At 39.2% G+C, this 16,692-nt stretch overlaps 1 protein-coding gene and 1 long non-coding RNA gene across 25 annotated transcripts in view; one reads left to right on the top strand and one right to left on the bottom strand.

Annotated features, from left to right (window-relative positions):
* Nucleotides 1–16,692, bottom strand: part of PATJ (PATJ crumbs cell polarity complex component) — a 421,436-nt gene that overhangs the window by 157,709 nt on the left and 247,035 nt on the right. For 20 of the 23 annotated variants that reach the window (XM_011540462.4, XM_011540467.4, XM_011540464.4 and 17 more), the window contains one exon: nucleotides 15,843–16,039. In XM_011540462.4, coding sequence (XP_011538764.1) covers nucleotides 15,843–16,039 — 197 coding nt within the window. Of the gene's footprint in view, nucleotides 1–14,432; nucleotides 15,163–15,842; nucleotides 16,040–16,692 lie in introns of those variants that run through there. The other 3 variants (XR_007061928.1, XM_006710278.5, XM_005270347.3) reach the window with 3 other exon arrangements.
* The window catches only part of LOC107984965 (uncharacterized), a 45,543-nt gene that overhangs the window by 25,002 nt on the left and 3,849 nt on the right, over nucleotides 1–16,692 (top strand). Inside the window, exon 3 of one of the 2 annotated variants that reach the window (XR_001738096.2) lies at nucleotides 4,226–4,310. The exons of the other annotated variant lie outside the window; for it this stretch is intronic. This is a non-coding gene — a long non-coding RNA (uncharacterized LOC107984965). Of the gene's footprint in view, nucleotides 1–4,225; nucleotides 4,311–16,692 lie in introns of those variants that run through there. 2 annotated transcript variants of the gene reach the window in all.

The raw sequence follows: 16,692 nt of genomic DNA, 5'->3' as shown, positions 1-16,692 counted from the left end.
GGAGATGGAGGTTGCAGAGAGCCGAGATTGCGCCATTGCACTCCAGCCTGGGGCGACAGAGCAAGACTGCGTCTCAAAAAACAAAACAAAACAAAACAAAACAAAAAAAGAAAAGAAATGTATACTGAAGAGCAGCTCAATTAAATCTACTAAAAAACCCTGCCAAATTGGAAGTAAAAGTTAATTAACTTAAGCTAGGAATGGAAATATTAATTATATAAAAATTAAAGTTTAGCTCAAGTAATAGATTTGCCTGAGGTGTGAATATCACGTCATAATATATTATACCTAACAATACCCCACCCACAATTTTATTAAAGCAGAAGGATTGATTATGAAAAGTGACAAATTATTATTAAAGAACTGAGTTGAAATTCATGTAATTTGAATTGGTGATAATTAAATCTGAGAGTCCTTCTCTGTAATTTACTTTTTTTTAAAGAGGCAGGGTCTTGTTCTGTTGTCCAGGCTGGAGTGCAGTGGCACAATCATAGCTCACTGTAGCCTAGAAGCCTCTAACTCCCAGGTTCAAGGAATACTCCCACCTCAGCCTCCCAAGTAGCTAGGACTACAGGTGTGTGCCACCACGCCTGGCTAATTTTTTTGGTAGAGACAAGGTCTTGCTATCTTGCCCAGGGTGGTCCTGAACTCTTGGGATCAGGCAATCCTCTAATCTCAGCCTCTCAAAATGCTGAGGTTATAGGTATGAGCCACTGTGCCTGGCCCAACTTTTTTTCTTTAATAAACTCTTTTACTGAATGTAACACACAGACGAAAAAAAAAAAAAAACCACATCATATTGAATATTTTTATAGGTTAACTTTTAATCTAATAATTCCACTTCTAAGAATTTATCCTAGGCTGGGCGCCTGTAATCCTAGCACTTTGGGAAGCCAAGGTGGGTGGATCACTTGAGGTCAGGAGTTTGAGACCAGCCTGGCCACTCAGGAAGCTGAGGCACAAGAATAGCTTGAATTCTGGAGGTGGAGGCTGCAGTAAGCTGAGATCACGCCACTGCTCTCCAACCTGGGTGACAGGTGAAACTATGTCTCAAAAAAAAAAAATCCTAAAAAATTTAAAAACCCAGTCATCCCTCTCATGGCTATTCCTTTAAAAGAGAAAAAGTGAAAAAAACTACGTATTAACCAACAAACAATTATACTAATAATCGTATATCAATAAATGGAAAACTGTGGTATTAAACAGAGGTAGGGGAGGATGATACAGATGTAGATGCATTGTCATAGAAAGAAAACACTGCATGCAGAGTGAAGAAAATAACAAATTTCATGCAACCTATTTACCACATTATTTTCATTTATGTAAAAGTTTCTGTGTGGGTTTAAAGAAAGTTCTGTGAGTATCTCTACTAAATGTCAGCAATGATCATATCGCTGGTGGGATTTAAGGTGATTTTCAGTTTGTTTTTCTATATTGACATTTTATAACTATAATAGTACCATTTAATAAATGTTTACAACATAGAAGGCACACACACATACATGTGCACACATGCCTAATACATTACTTGTCTCACTCAAACCAGTAGAGAACTGCATGGTTACGTCATTATATAGATGGAGAAATTGAGGCACAGTGAGTTTAAGAAATTTGACCAACATAACACATCTAGAATCAGAACTTATAGCCAAAATATCTTTCAGTTTAAAAGCTTATTAATTAAAAACATTCCCTAAGGGTATTTACTCGGGGTGAAAAAAAGCCATAGTATAAGTAACTCATTTTTAGTCCTATGAAATCAGAATTCCAATTTATAGGGCTCACAAAGTAGAAACCCCAGACCAAGAAATATTCCAATAAAAGTATAATAGGTATGTTGAATATTCACCCATTTATTCACTTAACAATCATTGCATAAGTGATGAGGATACAGGAATTTTCATTACCATTGTCATCATAGCTGCCATGTATTAAACACTGTGTTCTAGGTACCAGATTCTCTGAAAGTCACTTTGTAGAAATGACTTTATTTAGTCAGATACAGTTGCCGCCCTCAAGGATCCGGTACTCTGTAAGTGACATGGTTTTGGAAACAAATAATTGCATTGCCATATGATGTGTGTAGGCATAAAACAAGAAGCAATTGTCTCATCTTGGAGTTGGGTAGTTTGCTCTTAAGAAGCAGTAGACAGATGTTTAGACAGAAGCTTAGCAGGCACAGGGGAAGTGAGTGGCAAGAGGACTCCATGACTGGGGAAAAGCATATGAAAGGCACGCAGGTGTGAAACTCAAGGTCTCTCTGTAGGAACCACAGGTACTTTTACAGTGTAGCTTTCGGGGTGGGGAGGAGAGAAGTAGACTGACAGAGATAATAGAGGTAGTTTCTTCTTTCCAAAAATCTTGGGCACTGGCCCCCATGAAGAAGATGCCCACTTTCCAAACCATTGCTCCCACTTTGCAGATGGGAGAACCAAAGGGAGGAAAGGAGTACCAGGCTAGGGATGGGACAGGGCAGATGCCTGAAACTCAGGTGAAACACAATTTCACAATAATGAAAAAAGACTTCTGAATAAATTATCACATTAATTTTTTCCTTGGAAAAGACAAAATAGTGTACAACAAGCAGCCACTTCTTAATACCTTGGGCAAAGGAGCAGGTTTCAAGGACTCAGTTTAATGGAAATCGCAGTGCTGAAGTAAGATCTTCCACAGCTGCAATTTAATCTATTTCTTGTGAAGTATAATGTTTCCAAAGGATCACATTCATTTAAAAGGCTTAAAGATGAGAGATTTATTTTCTCTCAAACAAAACTAATTAAATTGAAATACATTCTAAAGGCAGCATAATAGTAATATGCAGCTCACACATCTGTCTAAATTTGTTATATTGGGAAAAGAGTAAGATATCCTTTTGAATTCTAAACCCTGACATGTTTTTGAAAAATACTGACTTCGAGAAAATAGAGAAATATGTTTCTGTGTTGTTCTAATTTTGAATACTCCTGTGAAAGTTGCTCCAATTGCCACAAGCTGTTTCACTTGACCAAATGAAGTAGGTGACTATAGGTAATTTCCCATTAGCTGCATGGCAAAGGAAAGAATAAATGAATGAAAGCACAGTATAATCCACCTCTTATATTACAGAGGAATCAGTGGTTTCCTAGGACATTGAGATATTACAGCCTAACTCTATCAATGGTATTATTAGCCACCTAAGCAGACAGGACTGGTGACCAATGACCGGGAATTTATTCTTCTAAGAACATTGATATATGCTACCAGTCAAGACTTTCCCTAAACTAGGAATGCTTAATGTTTGCTCCTTTTCATAAAAACAGCTGATCTAATTAGAACCCCACCTCAATTCTCTCTGTTGCTAGAAATCTTTTTCTCTTGCCTTCAAAGTATTTCACTTGTCCCTTGTATAGACATAGTGAAAAACCCATTCAGTCATCAAAGGACTCTATCACTCCCTAACTGTGCTCCCTTCCAACTCCAGTTTCTCTCTCTCTTTTTTTTTTTTTTTTTTTTTTTTTGAGACAGAGTTTCGCTCTTGTTGCCCAGGTTTGAGTGCAGTGGCACGATCTTGGCTCACTGCAACCTCTGCCTCCCGGGTTCAAGTGATTCTCCTGCCTCAGCCTCCCAAGTAGCTGGGATTATAGGCATGCACTACCACACCCGGCTAATTTTTTTGTATTTCTGGTAGAGACAGGGTTTCACTATGTTGGCCAGGCTGGCCTCAAACTCCTGACCTCAAATGATCCACCCGCCTCAGCCTCCCAAAGTGCTGGGATTACAGGTGTGAGCCACTGCGCCCCGCTCTCTTTTTCTTTCTTTTAAACAGTTATCTTGTTAGTGAATCAGTCCTGTAGGGGCAGGATTACATGATATACAGTTGATAGCTTTTAAAGTATAACTCATCCAGAGTCCAGTACTACCACACTACCCACCATGAAAGAGAAGGTTGGTGTTTCTGTACTTTTGTAATGACGACGTTGAGACTCACAAACTCAGTGACTTACAAAGGGGTTCTAGGTAAGGAGGTGGCAGAGCCAGAATCCAAGCTCAAGCCTCCTGATCCCAAAGCCTCTAGGTAGGTTTGGGGCCTCTGGAATGGGTAACAAGAAGATGGAACTTGGTGCTATGGGACTCCTGCTACCTCTGTAATACTCAGCCTAATCACCCGCATCCCCAGCTTCCCTGCCACCACTAAAACAACAAAACAAAACCCAGCACCCAATTCTCATTCATTATTTTTTTACAGTGGTAAAGAAAGAGAAAAACCCAACTCAAGTGTCAGCTTTAAAAACTCTGGGCTGTCACGTCCTTTCTGTTTGTTAGTTTTTGTGAAGGACCTCATCAAGGAGAACTACAAACCACTGCTCAATGAAATAAAAGAGGATACAAAGAAATGGAAGAACATTCCATGCTCATGGGTAGGAAGAATCAATATCGTGAAAATGGCCATACTGCCTAAGGTAATTTATAGATTCAATGCCATCCCCATCAAGCTACCAATCACTTTCTTCACAGAATTGGAAAAAACTACTTTAAAGTTCATATGGAACCAAAAAAGAGCCCGCATTGCCAAGTCAATCCTAAGCCGAAAGAACAAAGCTGGAGGCATCACGCTACCTGATTTCAAACTATACTACAAGGCTACAGTAACAGCATGGTACTGGTACCGAAACAGAGATATAGATCAATGGAACAGAACAGAGCCCTCAGAAATAACGCCGCATATCTACAACTATCTGATCTTTGACAAACCTGAGAAAAATAAGCAATGGGGAAAGGATTCCCTATTTAATAAATGGTGCTGGGAAAACTGGCTAGCCATATGTAGAAAGCTGAAACTGAATCCCTTCCTTACACCTTATACAAAAATTAATTCAAGATGGATTAAAGACTTAAACGTTAGACCTAAAACCATAAAAACCCTAGAAGAAAACCTAGGCATTACCATTCAGGACATAGGCATGGGCGAGGACTTCATGTCTAAAACACCAAAAGCAATGGCAACAAAAGCCAAAATTGACAAATGGGATCTAATTAAACTAAAGAGCTTCTGCACAGCAAAAGAAACTACCATCAGAGTGAACAGGCAACCTACAAAATGGGAGAAAATTTTCGCAACCTACTCATCTGACAAAGGGCTAATATCCAGAATCTATAATGAACTCAAACAAATTTACAAGAAAAAAACAAACAACCCCATCAAAAAGGACATGAGCAGACACTTCTCAAAAGAAGACATTTATGCAGCCAACAGACACATGAAAAAATGCTCATCATCACTGGCCATCAGAGAAATGCAAATCAAAACCACAATGAGATACCGTCTCATACCAGTTAGAATGGCAATCATTAAAAAGTCAGGAAACAACAAGTGCTGGAAAGGATGTGGAGAAATAGGAACACTTTTACACTGTTGGTGGGACTGTAAACTAGTTCAACCCTTGGGGAAGTCAGTGTGGCGATCCCTCAGGGATCTAGAACTAGAAATACCATTTGACCCAGCCATCCCATTACTGGGTATATACCCAAAGGACTATAAATCATGCTGCTATAAAGACACATGCACACGTATGTTTATTGTGGCACTATTCACAATAGCAAAGACTTGGAACCAACCCAAATGTCCAACAATGATAGGCTGGATTAAGAAAATGTGGCACGTGCACACCATGGAATACTATGCAGCCATAAAAAATGATGAGTTCATGTCCTTTGCAGGGACATGGATGAAATTGGAACTCATCATTCTCAGTAAACTATCGTAAGAACAAAAAACCAAACACTGCATATTCTCACTCATAGATGGGAATTGAACAATGAGAACACATGGACACAGGAAGGGGAACATCACACTCTGGGGACTGTTGTGGGGTGGGGGGAGGGGGGAGGCATAGCATTAGGAGATATACCTAACGTAAATGACGAGTTAATGGGTGCAGCACACCAGCATGGCACATGTATACATATGTAACTAACCTGCACATTGTGCACATGTACCCTAAAACTTAAAGTATAAAAAAAAAAAAACAAAAAACTCTAGGCTGGGCACGGTGGCTGTCACCTGCAATCCCAGCACGTTGGGAGGCCGAGGCGGGAGGATCACCTGAGGTCAGGAGTTCGAGACCAGCCTGGCCAATATGGTGAAACCCCATCTCTACTAAAAATACAAAAATTAGCCGGGCATGGTGGCAGGCGCCTGTAATCCCAGCTACTCAGGAGGCTGAGAGGCTGAGGCAGGAGAATTGCTTGAACCTGGGAGGCAGAGGTTGCAGAGCTGCGATCACACCACTGCACTCCAGTCTGGGTGACAGAGCAAGACTCTGCCTAAAAAAACCCAAAAAAACAACAAAAACAAAAACCACAACTCTGCCTCACCTCAGCACACTACTACTTTCTTCCTTAACTGTATATGTATATGTGTGAAAAACTTTCTGTAATGACAAAACTTTCACCTATCAGGTTGCCTGAGATCTTATAATACCCAGTATTTGCTAGCTTTTGGGGTGGAAGGAGTGGAACGGTCTCTCTTATATACTGGTTTCTGTTTTGTTTGTTTTTTTGAGATAGAGTCTCACTCTGTCACCCAGGCTGGAGTGCAACGGTGTGATCTCAGCTCACTGTAACCTCCAACTCCTAGGTTCAAACGATTCTTGTGCCTCAGCCCCCCGAGTAGCTGAGATTACAGCTGTGTACCACCATTTTTGGCTAATTTTTGTATTTTTAGTAGAGATGGGGTTTCACCATGTTGGCCAGGCTGGTCTTGAACTCCTGACCTCAGGTGATCTGCCCACCTCAGCCTCCCAAAGTGCCTCTCTTATATACTGTTAATGGGGCAGAAAATATACAAATAAAGTAAAATACAAAAGGCTAATATAAGAAAACTTCTCTCAATTCTAAGAGCATATTTTTCCAGGCTGCATTTCACTACAGTCACTACAATATCCATAGGACAGGAAGGAAGTTGGGAAAGCGCTGGACAAAGGAGGAAATGGAGGCCCAGAGAACAATCCCAGTAGGTTATGGAAGACATGGGGGAAAATCGCAGAAAGAAGAGTCGAGAGAGGCACTGCTGAAAATTACTCCTTCCATAAATTTCTTCCCCAGCATACATTCCTGTCGCTATTTTTTTTTTAACAGATTTCTTCAGTAATCTGCTTCTTCAATCATCATTTTTACTTTCTATTTTCATGGCACTTTCCATAATTTTAAGATAATTTGGCTCACTGGAGAGACCACACATAAAGCTTTTGTGTGAGCAATAATGAGGACTGCAGTAATAAAAAATAAACGATTGTCCTTCCTCCAAGACAAGAATATGGATTTTTGGCCTCAATATTTCAGTGGCATAAGGAAGTATGACTAAATAATTTAACTCTTCCCCTAACAAGCCATAGTCAGAAACAAAAATGGCAGAAATAGAGCTCAAAGACTTCACAGCAGGAAACAAAAAAGAATGAGGCCAACCGATACGAACTAGGTTTTACATAATAGTTCCTGCAGTTGGAAAATAAAACTCGAACTCTATGAAGGAACTGAAGGGTAAAGGTCTTTAATTATGAAGTTCAGACAAGCTCTCCTAGTGCAAGAACAAGCTCAAAAAATAAATTTTCTTCTTCTTTGGTTCTTAAGTGATGAACATAATTTCACTAACTACATTCTGCTTTTAATTAATTCAAAGTGGCGTTAAATTTTTAGAAGACAGGCTGGGCACAGTGGCTCACATCTGTAATTCCAGCCCTTTGGGAGGTTGAGGTGGGAAGACTGCCTGAGCCCAGGAGTTGGAGATTAGCCTGGGCGATACAGAAAGACTTTGACTCTACAACAAATAAAATAAAAATTAGCTGGGCTAGGCGCAGTGGCTCACGCCTGTAATCCCAGCACTTTGGGAGGCGGAGGCAGGCAGATCACTTAAGGTCAGGAGTTCGAGACCAGCCTGGCCAACATGGTGAAACCCCATCTCTACTAAAAATACAAAAAAAAATTAGCCAGGCCTGATGGCTCATGCCTATAATCTCAGTTCATCGAGAGGCTGAGGCAGAAGAATAGCTTGAATTTAGGAGGTGGAGGTTGCAGTGAGCTGAGATCATGCCACTGAACTCCAGCTTGGGTGACAGAGTGAGATTCTTTCTCAAAAAGAAAAAAATATATATTATATAATATATATTTATTATATATAATATATATAATAAATATATAATATATTATATATAATTAATATATATAATATATTATATATACATATATAAGCTGGGCACAGTGGCATGCACCTATAGTTCTAGCTACTCAGGAGGCTGAGGAGGGAGGATCACTTGAGCCCAGGAGTTTCAAGTTACAGTGAGCTATGATCATTCTATTGCACCCCCAGCCTGGGTGACAGAGCTAGACCCTGTCTTTTTTTTTTTTAAAACAAAACAAAACAAAACAAAACAAAACAAAACAAAAAACCGCACACATAAAAAACTAAGAAGATAAGAATAGCATGGAATTGTATTGTGAGAAACTATCTTGGGTGTTTTAAACTAGTACTGGATAAATTGCATTAATCTTTATCTACTAAAACTATTAATACAAAACGGTAATGAATTCACTTATTACCTTCTAGAATCATTATTAATCCAGAACTCAAATAACTTAAAAACACAGCCTACTGCCAGGCAAATAATTAAGTACTCAATGTTAGCTCAATTCCCTATTCAGCACCCTAACCACACTCTCAATTTCTTTTAATGAGCAAGTCTTTTGTAACTGAAACTGAGTATAACACAACTGATTACTTAAGGAACATGATTAGCAAGACACAGATAGCTATTGGTTACAACGCTGTAATGACCAGAGGACTGCACTTAGTGTGTGAGGCTGACCACTCAGCCAGCACCACAGTCTTCTGGTGACTTTTAGAGTTGTGAACCGGGTTGCAGATCATCTTACGAGTAACAAAATGAGGTGACTTTGGCTCTGCATATGGGAAGGTCATATTCAGGGCTTGCTTACAATATGTATTTGTGTCAGGTTTAATCACTCATTTTTTAATAGCTTTGAGATACAATATTGACATATAGCAAATCACATACTAAAGTGTAATATTTTAGTATTAGTGAATAGTATTTAGTATTAGTGAAACCATAGCTACAATCGAACACTTGATCAATTTATTTTTACACTTTTAGCTATTTAGAACCTATCTCTGGCCAGGTGCAGTGGCTCACCCCTGTAATCCCAGCACTTTGGGAGGCCAAGGCGGGCAGATCACTTGAGGTCAGGAGTTCGAGACTAGCCTGGCCAACATGGTGACACCCCGTCTCCACTAAAATACAAAAATTAGCCGGGCATGGTGGTATGCACCTGTAATCCCAGGTACTCGGGAGGCTGAGGCACAAGAATCACTTGGACCTAGGAAGCAGAGGTTGCTGTGAGCCAAGATTGTGCCACTGTACTCCAGCCTGGGCGATAGAGCAAGACTCCATCTCAAAAAAAAAAAAAAAAAAAGAAAAGAAAAGAAAAAAAGAACCTATCTCTATTAATAAAGCTACAGGAAAAGTCATTTTCTTGCAATTTTTAATTCTTTGTTCTTCTTCCTGTTCCTCAAACTACTGTTTCTATAATGGGATATTTTATTACATGAGGTCTCTGAGGGCATAGTTATTTCATTAAGAAACACACTTCATAAAATTGCATCCATGTATGGTAATCTAAAAAAGCCAATCTAGATGACAGAAGCTTCTGACTATAAATTATAAGTAATCTTATCCATACATACACAGAAGCTAGTGATTTATTAAGTACTCTACTGTACTTCCAAACACATCTAAGTTTTCCAAAAGATTTCAAAAACAATTCACTGGCAGCAAGCAGAAAGTCAGGGATAAACTGCTGAGACAGTGGTGCTGGTAAGGGCTCCTGGTAGGACTTTTGCATGAAGCAGCTGCATGTATACCTGGGCCAGTCATTTAACTTTTATGGTTTCGGTTTTTTCTCTTATAAAATAAATATTACTGGACACTGAGATCTGAGATTACCTGTAGCTCTATGTCTTTATCCCTGAAAAATATGGGACACATTCATGCTTTTGATTTTTCATGATTCTTAAATATCATTTTACACATAAGCAAAATGACAGGATTTTACTTGGGTTATCCTTTAGGTGAATGATACAAAGGGAATGTACTGCATACTTCTTCTATCTCAAAAGGCTTGGGAGGCAGACAAAACACAGCTCAATACACTAGCCCAATCAATTGTGCACCTCTTGTGCCACCCACTTTGTTCCTTCTGGCTGCTTCTGGAACCTGACAAATCACTCCAATTCCCTGCACAGCACCATCAACTCTTTTTTCCTACATTGGCACTGAAGGGAAGATTATAAATGAATCCTGTATTCATATGACAGCCCCATGCTCAGGCCTGTGCATTTTCCGGGACTAATTGCTTTGGGAAAGCCAATACTCTAGCATAAGTCTCATTCCAGTCCACATGGTGATTATATGTTAATGCCTTTTGAAATTAATTCAGTAACCCTCTTACTAGCATGGAAGTAAAGGGCAAAGAAGCTGAGATTTAATCATATTGTCTTTTAGGGGCTTAATGTAAAATTTCTTTTGTATGTGAACCAAGCCATTGATGGACAGAATTTGCTGAATGCTCTTCCACTGTAATGGTGCAGTCCCGCAGCAACAAAACTGCTAGCAAATGTCACACCAAAAGTGTGTCATGGACAGGGCTCTCAAAGAGAAGCTGAGTTTCTGGCTTCAAAGAAGCCACAATGTATGCTCAACCTCTCTTTTTGCTATTTTCTATAAATTAACCTCATCTAAGCGTCTGAAGGAATTAAGATCAAATATAACTAAAAGGAGGCTGTGAGCAAAGCCATATCATAGAGACAAAACAATAATGATAAATAATATGTGCAAATAATGAAGTTATAAAAATAATCAAGACATTGAGCATTTTACTTCAATTGAGGGAGAGACGATAAAAATAAACAGTGTCAGGGGGTAAAGCAACCACTCATGATTTGCTCTCAGAAACCCAATAGGTATAATCTAAAAGCCCACTTGCAAATGCTTCCCATATAATGCAGTATACTTCTACAATCTACTACACTGCAATATCCAAAGAACAGCTATTATAACACTGGCTTTAGCTTTCTTGGTACTCATCATTAAATAAATTTCCTATACTCAGCTCAAAAGCACATTGGATTTGATATTATACTACATACAAATTCTTCACATATCATAGAGTAATAATTGCAAATTTTTCTGAGTTATAAAAAGAAAACAGGGAAATGGTTCTCACATGAATTTAATTCTCTATCATCTCTGACCTAAAGCCCAATGAGAAGATGGGTTATAAATGCTTAAGAATCCTGTATATGGGCTGGGCATGGTGGCTCACCCCTGTAATCCCAGCACTTTGAGAGGCTGAGGCAGGTGGATCACCTGAGATCAGGAGTTTAAGACCAGCCTGACCAACATAGTGAAACCCCATCTCTACTAAATACAAAAAATTAGCCAGGCGTGGTGGCATGCACCTGTAATCCCAGCTACTTGGGAGGCTGAGGCAGGAGAATTGCTTGAACCTGGGAGGTGGAGGTTGCAGTGAGCCAAGGTGGCGCCATTGCACTCCAGACTGGGCAACAAGAGTGAAACTCTGTCTTGGGAAAAAAAAAAAAGAATCCTGTATATGCATTTTTCCATTCTCCCAGCTCTTCAGGATGTTGCATAGAGCCATCAAGGAATAAAAAGATGACTTCCCTATGGGACAGACTTTCAGAGACAAAGGCATTAATATAAATGAACTAAAAAGAACTGAGCTATACAACGCTGAAAAAAAATTATGAATAAAATCAAAATCATCTGAAATGTATTAAGGTATTGCTATGTACCAGATACTCTTATTAATTCCCACACTACCCTCTGAGGTTGATGCTGTACAATCACTAGACTGGAAGCTCTGTGAGGGCAGGTATTATGTATTTTGTTCACCAGCAGAGAATCTACACTTTGTTCATACAGCACCTGCTATATGACAGATGCACAGTAAGATATTTGCTGAATGAATTAATTTCTCCATTTGAAAAAGGAGGTAGCTGAGGCTTAAAGAAGATAAATAATTAGCCAAAAATACATGATGCCAGAATCTATATTCCAACATATTTTTATTCGTTATTTTTTTTTAAACTAGAGAATCTTTGTGGAGTGATGGGGAGTTAAGTTATTGGTATGTTTAATCTTTTTGCTCATTCCATCTCTGAATGAAGATGAAATTGCTGAATTGCAATGAAAGGGCCAAATTCCGAAAGTCAAAGGAAAGCATAGGAGGAGTCCAATAAAGCAAAATGTTATTTTTTATCCAGCAGAGTTCTTCTAGACTCTAGCTTAGCAAACAGATACCGGAAGTTTCTAAGGGAGTGGAAGTCTGTTTTCATTAACAGTTAACTATTCACCATGCTGTGCTATTGTGATATAATCAGAAATACATATTTGTTCTCTGCTTGCAGTTTCTGGCACAGAGCTCCTAAAACCCTTGGAATTTCCTGAGCAACAGGGGTGCTAGGTGTTAGGTACATCTCTTGTTTTAATATTTGGTCTCTGATCTGGGTTCCTGACACAGAGCTCCTAATCCCTTGGAATTCCTTGGGTAACAAGAGTGTCTTTTGTTCTAATGAGGCAACTCTTGGTGGGTTCTTGAATGGGAGATGATTGCCAGAAGGACCAAACCACAGCTAAAAGCTTGGAATGTTCAGTTCCGACCCTCAGGGAGAATGAGGTAATAATTGCTCATGCCTACATGATGAAGCCTTAATAAAAACCCCTGAACTATGGGGTTTGAAGAGCTCTTGGCTTGCTGAACACGTGGACCTGTCTGGTGGGTAGCACGCCCAGACAGGGCATGGAAACTCTGCCCTCCCCTTCACTTACACCTCAATCTGTATATCTATCTCTTCATCTGGTTGTTCACCTGTATCTTCGTAACTTCCTTTATGACTAAATATAAGTAAATTGTTTCCCTGACTTGTGTGAGCCACCCTAGCAAATTAATCAAACCTGAGTTAGGGGTTAATGGGAACTCCCAATTAAGAGCTGGTTGGTCAGAAGTTCAGGTCATAACCTGGGATTGCAAACAGCCTCTAAAGTGGTGGGAGACAGTATTGTGGGACTGAGCCCTTAACTTGTGGGACTGACGCTGTCTCCAGGTACCTAGTGTCAGAATTGAATTGAATCATAGGATACTCAATTGGTGTCAGCTGAAGAATTGCTTGGTATGTGGGGGATAGTCTTCACACACTTGATGTCAGTTGATGTTCTGCTGTCTAAGAGAAGGAAAACTCTTTACCTCTTACATACATTATGCTGAGCAACTTCTGAAATACAACCAATAACCAAAAGAATCGAGACAAGTTACGGTAGGTCTTCCAAGTCCAGTGCTTGCTGCCACATACATAGTGCTGAATTTTGTGTTTGACCTGTAAAACACTCTCATTACTCTGCAGCCACAGCTCATTTGTTACCACTGTCTAATAAAATGTCAGACAGAGAAATAAAATACCCATGCTCCTGTTGGTCTGGATATCACAGGACATTCCATCTTGAGTCTTAATAAGGTAGAAAGAACAGAACAAGAATCTTCATATTCCAAATTATAGCCTTTGGAGTATTTCCATGTACCAAGCAAGACAGGAAATCTCTGTCTAGATATGTATAACATAACAGAGTGACTTAATGTACATGATTCCCTGAAGACTAAAGCATCAAAAATCAGGAATCTCCTGAATCTAAACAAATTGGGTTGGTTAAAGAAGTCCCATGGGGACCAGGCCTGGTGACTCACGCCTGTAATCCCAGCACTTTAGGAGGCTGAGGCGGGTGGATTACCCGAGGTCGGGAGTTCGAGACCACCCTGACCAACATGGAGAAACCCCATCTCTACTAAAAATACAAATATTAGCTGGGCATGGTGGCACTTGCCTGTAATCCTGGCTACTCGGGAGGCTGAGGCAGGAAAATCTCTTGAACTTGGGAGGCAGAGGTTGCAGTGAACCGAGATCGTGCTATTGCACTCCAGCCTGGGCAACAAGAGTGAAACTCCGTCTCAAAAAAAAAAAAAAAAAGAATCCCACAGGGAACATAGTATACTTTAGTGGCTGTAACACGGGTCTTGGAGTCTGGCAAGCCTGAGTTCTTATCCACACTTATTCACTTAGTTCTGCAATATTAGGTATACTATTTACCCAGTTTCTAATCCATAAAATGGAGATAATAATAGTTGTTACCATAAAGGATTTTTAAGAATACCGAATACAAATATGTACAATGCATATGCACAGTGCTAGCAATAACTGAGTACACTGGCTCTAACTTTCATCATTTTTACTACCAGCATCACTTTTGTCTCATCTCTGAGGAAGTCTCTAAACATAAGCCAAAGGAAACAAACTGAGGCAATGAATAATATTGGTTACATAAGGTCATCTTTGACTTTATTTATGTAATGATTATGCTAGTCAGTGTTACGACCCAATGTGGGTCCCATTCGTGGTGCTATATTATAAAAGAACAAGAAAAGAAAAGTAATCCTGGAAGTGACTTCTTTGCAGAAACAGGTTTTAAGTGGGGAGAAGCAACCAAGGTTTGGAAGAAAGAGTTGATGGCGATGGTCTTCCTGTTGCACCTGGCCAGCTGTGGCAGTAGTTATTATTAGGCAAGTAAAATTATGGATGACTGTAAATTCTATTCTGAGTCAGAGTCTGAGGAGGAAATCGTAAAATGCAAAATCAGTAAGCCTTCATTTCAAGTAAGCAGTCTAACACTCAGTGTCTCCATGATTTAGCTCCCCTAAATGTCCTAAAGTTGGAACATTTTAACAAATAGGCTTTAAAGCACAATGGTTTACAAAGAGCTACAAGTCAAACTGCCTGCCATTGAATCCTAACACCATCATTTACTTTGTGATCTCACCAGTAAAAGAGGTTGTTGTGTTTGGTACCAGGTATATTTTAGCTGTTATTGTCATCATCATCATCATCATCATCATCATCATCATCATTGCATTTCTTATTTTGTAGTATAAATATCTTTTCACGTCTGTTTTCTTCTTCTAGACTGTGAGCTATACTAATGAAGGAACTGGATGTATTCATCTCTTTTTCTGTTTCTGGTCCTAATAGACACTCAAAAGTGTTAGCTGAAAGAATGAGTGAATGAACAAGCAAATGAGTATCAAACTAAGATAAGCTCAGAACAGATACCTTAAATTTAAGTGTAGAAGAATAAGAATAACCTTTTCAGATTATTAATGAAATTATCTGGAGTAATTAAAAGAGGATCAGTCATCTTCTTAGCTTCTCTTTTGTCTATTCTATTCCTAAAGAAAGAACCTATGTAGCCTTACCCATATCCTGAACTTCACAGACATTAACTATTATTTTTGAGAAGTTCACAGGCTCTTGTTGGCTCTAACATCTTCCCCACTTCCCCCCAAAAAACTGAAGAACCACAACAGTTACATGTATGACTAATTTAAAACCCAAAGAGAATTTTGATAAATACTATCAAAATTAGGTTAATATACAAATTAATTTTGAATACTTAAAAATTGATATTAAAAACAAAGGTTTTAATATGTTTCCATGATATTTTACTGAAGAACTTCTAAAATATTCTGTGAGATTAGTTTTTACTTAAGCAGCAAATAACATTTGCAAACAACAGTTTGATTTCTGTTCTTGCTTTGAAAAATGATTTTAAGTAGTTGAAGGAAATATAATTTGACATCATTCTTCCCTTTCACCTCATTTTCCTATACAACATCCACTGCACCCATCCACTTCACCAAAAGATAAGTTAAAAACACATGCTTCTCACCTCTAAGAGTTCATCTCCAATACGCATTCGTCCATCTGCGGCAGCAGGTCCTTCCGGGTTAATTCCCACCACAAATATGCTCATGCGTGATCGGTCTTTATTACCAGCAAGGCTGAGTCCAAGTCCATTCTTATCTTTTTCAAGTTCAATAATGTGCAGTTCTCCAGGCAGATCTGCATATCTTTGTCTGATTTTTTCTATTAAAAGAATTTTTTTAAAATTAAATAGAGTAGCTTGATCTGTATTATTGAGATGTCAGCATTTCCCCATCCTTACTGTGATTTCTCAACTATGGTACCTTTTTTGTTTTTTAAGAGACAGAGTCTTGCTATATTGCGCAGACTGGAGTGCTGCAGTGGCTATTCACAGGTGTGACTATAGCACACTACAGCCTCCAACTCCTGGGCTCAAGTGATCCCCCTGCCTCAGCCTCCCAAGTAGCTGGAACTATAGTATGTGGCACTGTGCCAAGCTCTATAATAGTTTATTTTTGAGAATGAAGGTACTTAAGGTCATGCATGGCCTTAGATGTAGGTTACAGTTAAAAATTATTTTATTTCCTCCTAAGAAGTTTAACTCACCCATAAGACCTTCTGATTGTTCAGGTTCACACTGGCCTAGACTTTCTGTGGACTCTTTTCTTACCTAAGTCAATCAACACAAAGTGGTAGAAACCATGGTCCCCTTCCTATCTGCCCCAACCCACCCGCACTAAAAAGGGAAGCAAAAACATTAGCTGAGCACCAGATTTGAGGCAAGCAAAGTATTTGGTCTTAGAGATTTAACACTGAACAAAACAATCATGGTTTCTACTCTTAGGACTTACGGTCCAGTAGGAAAGAAAATCAAC

Source organism: Homo sapiens, chromosome 1 (genome assembly GCF_000001405.40).
Source record: "Homo sapiens chromosome 1, GRCh38.p14 Primary Assembly".
In the NCBI taxonomy this organism is placed as follows: Eukaryota; Metazoa; Chordata; class Mammalia; order Primates; family Hominidae; genus Homo; species Homo sapiens.
Note: the sequence above shows the minus strand (reverse complement) of the source record. Positions and strands in the feature narration are given on the sequence as shown.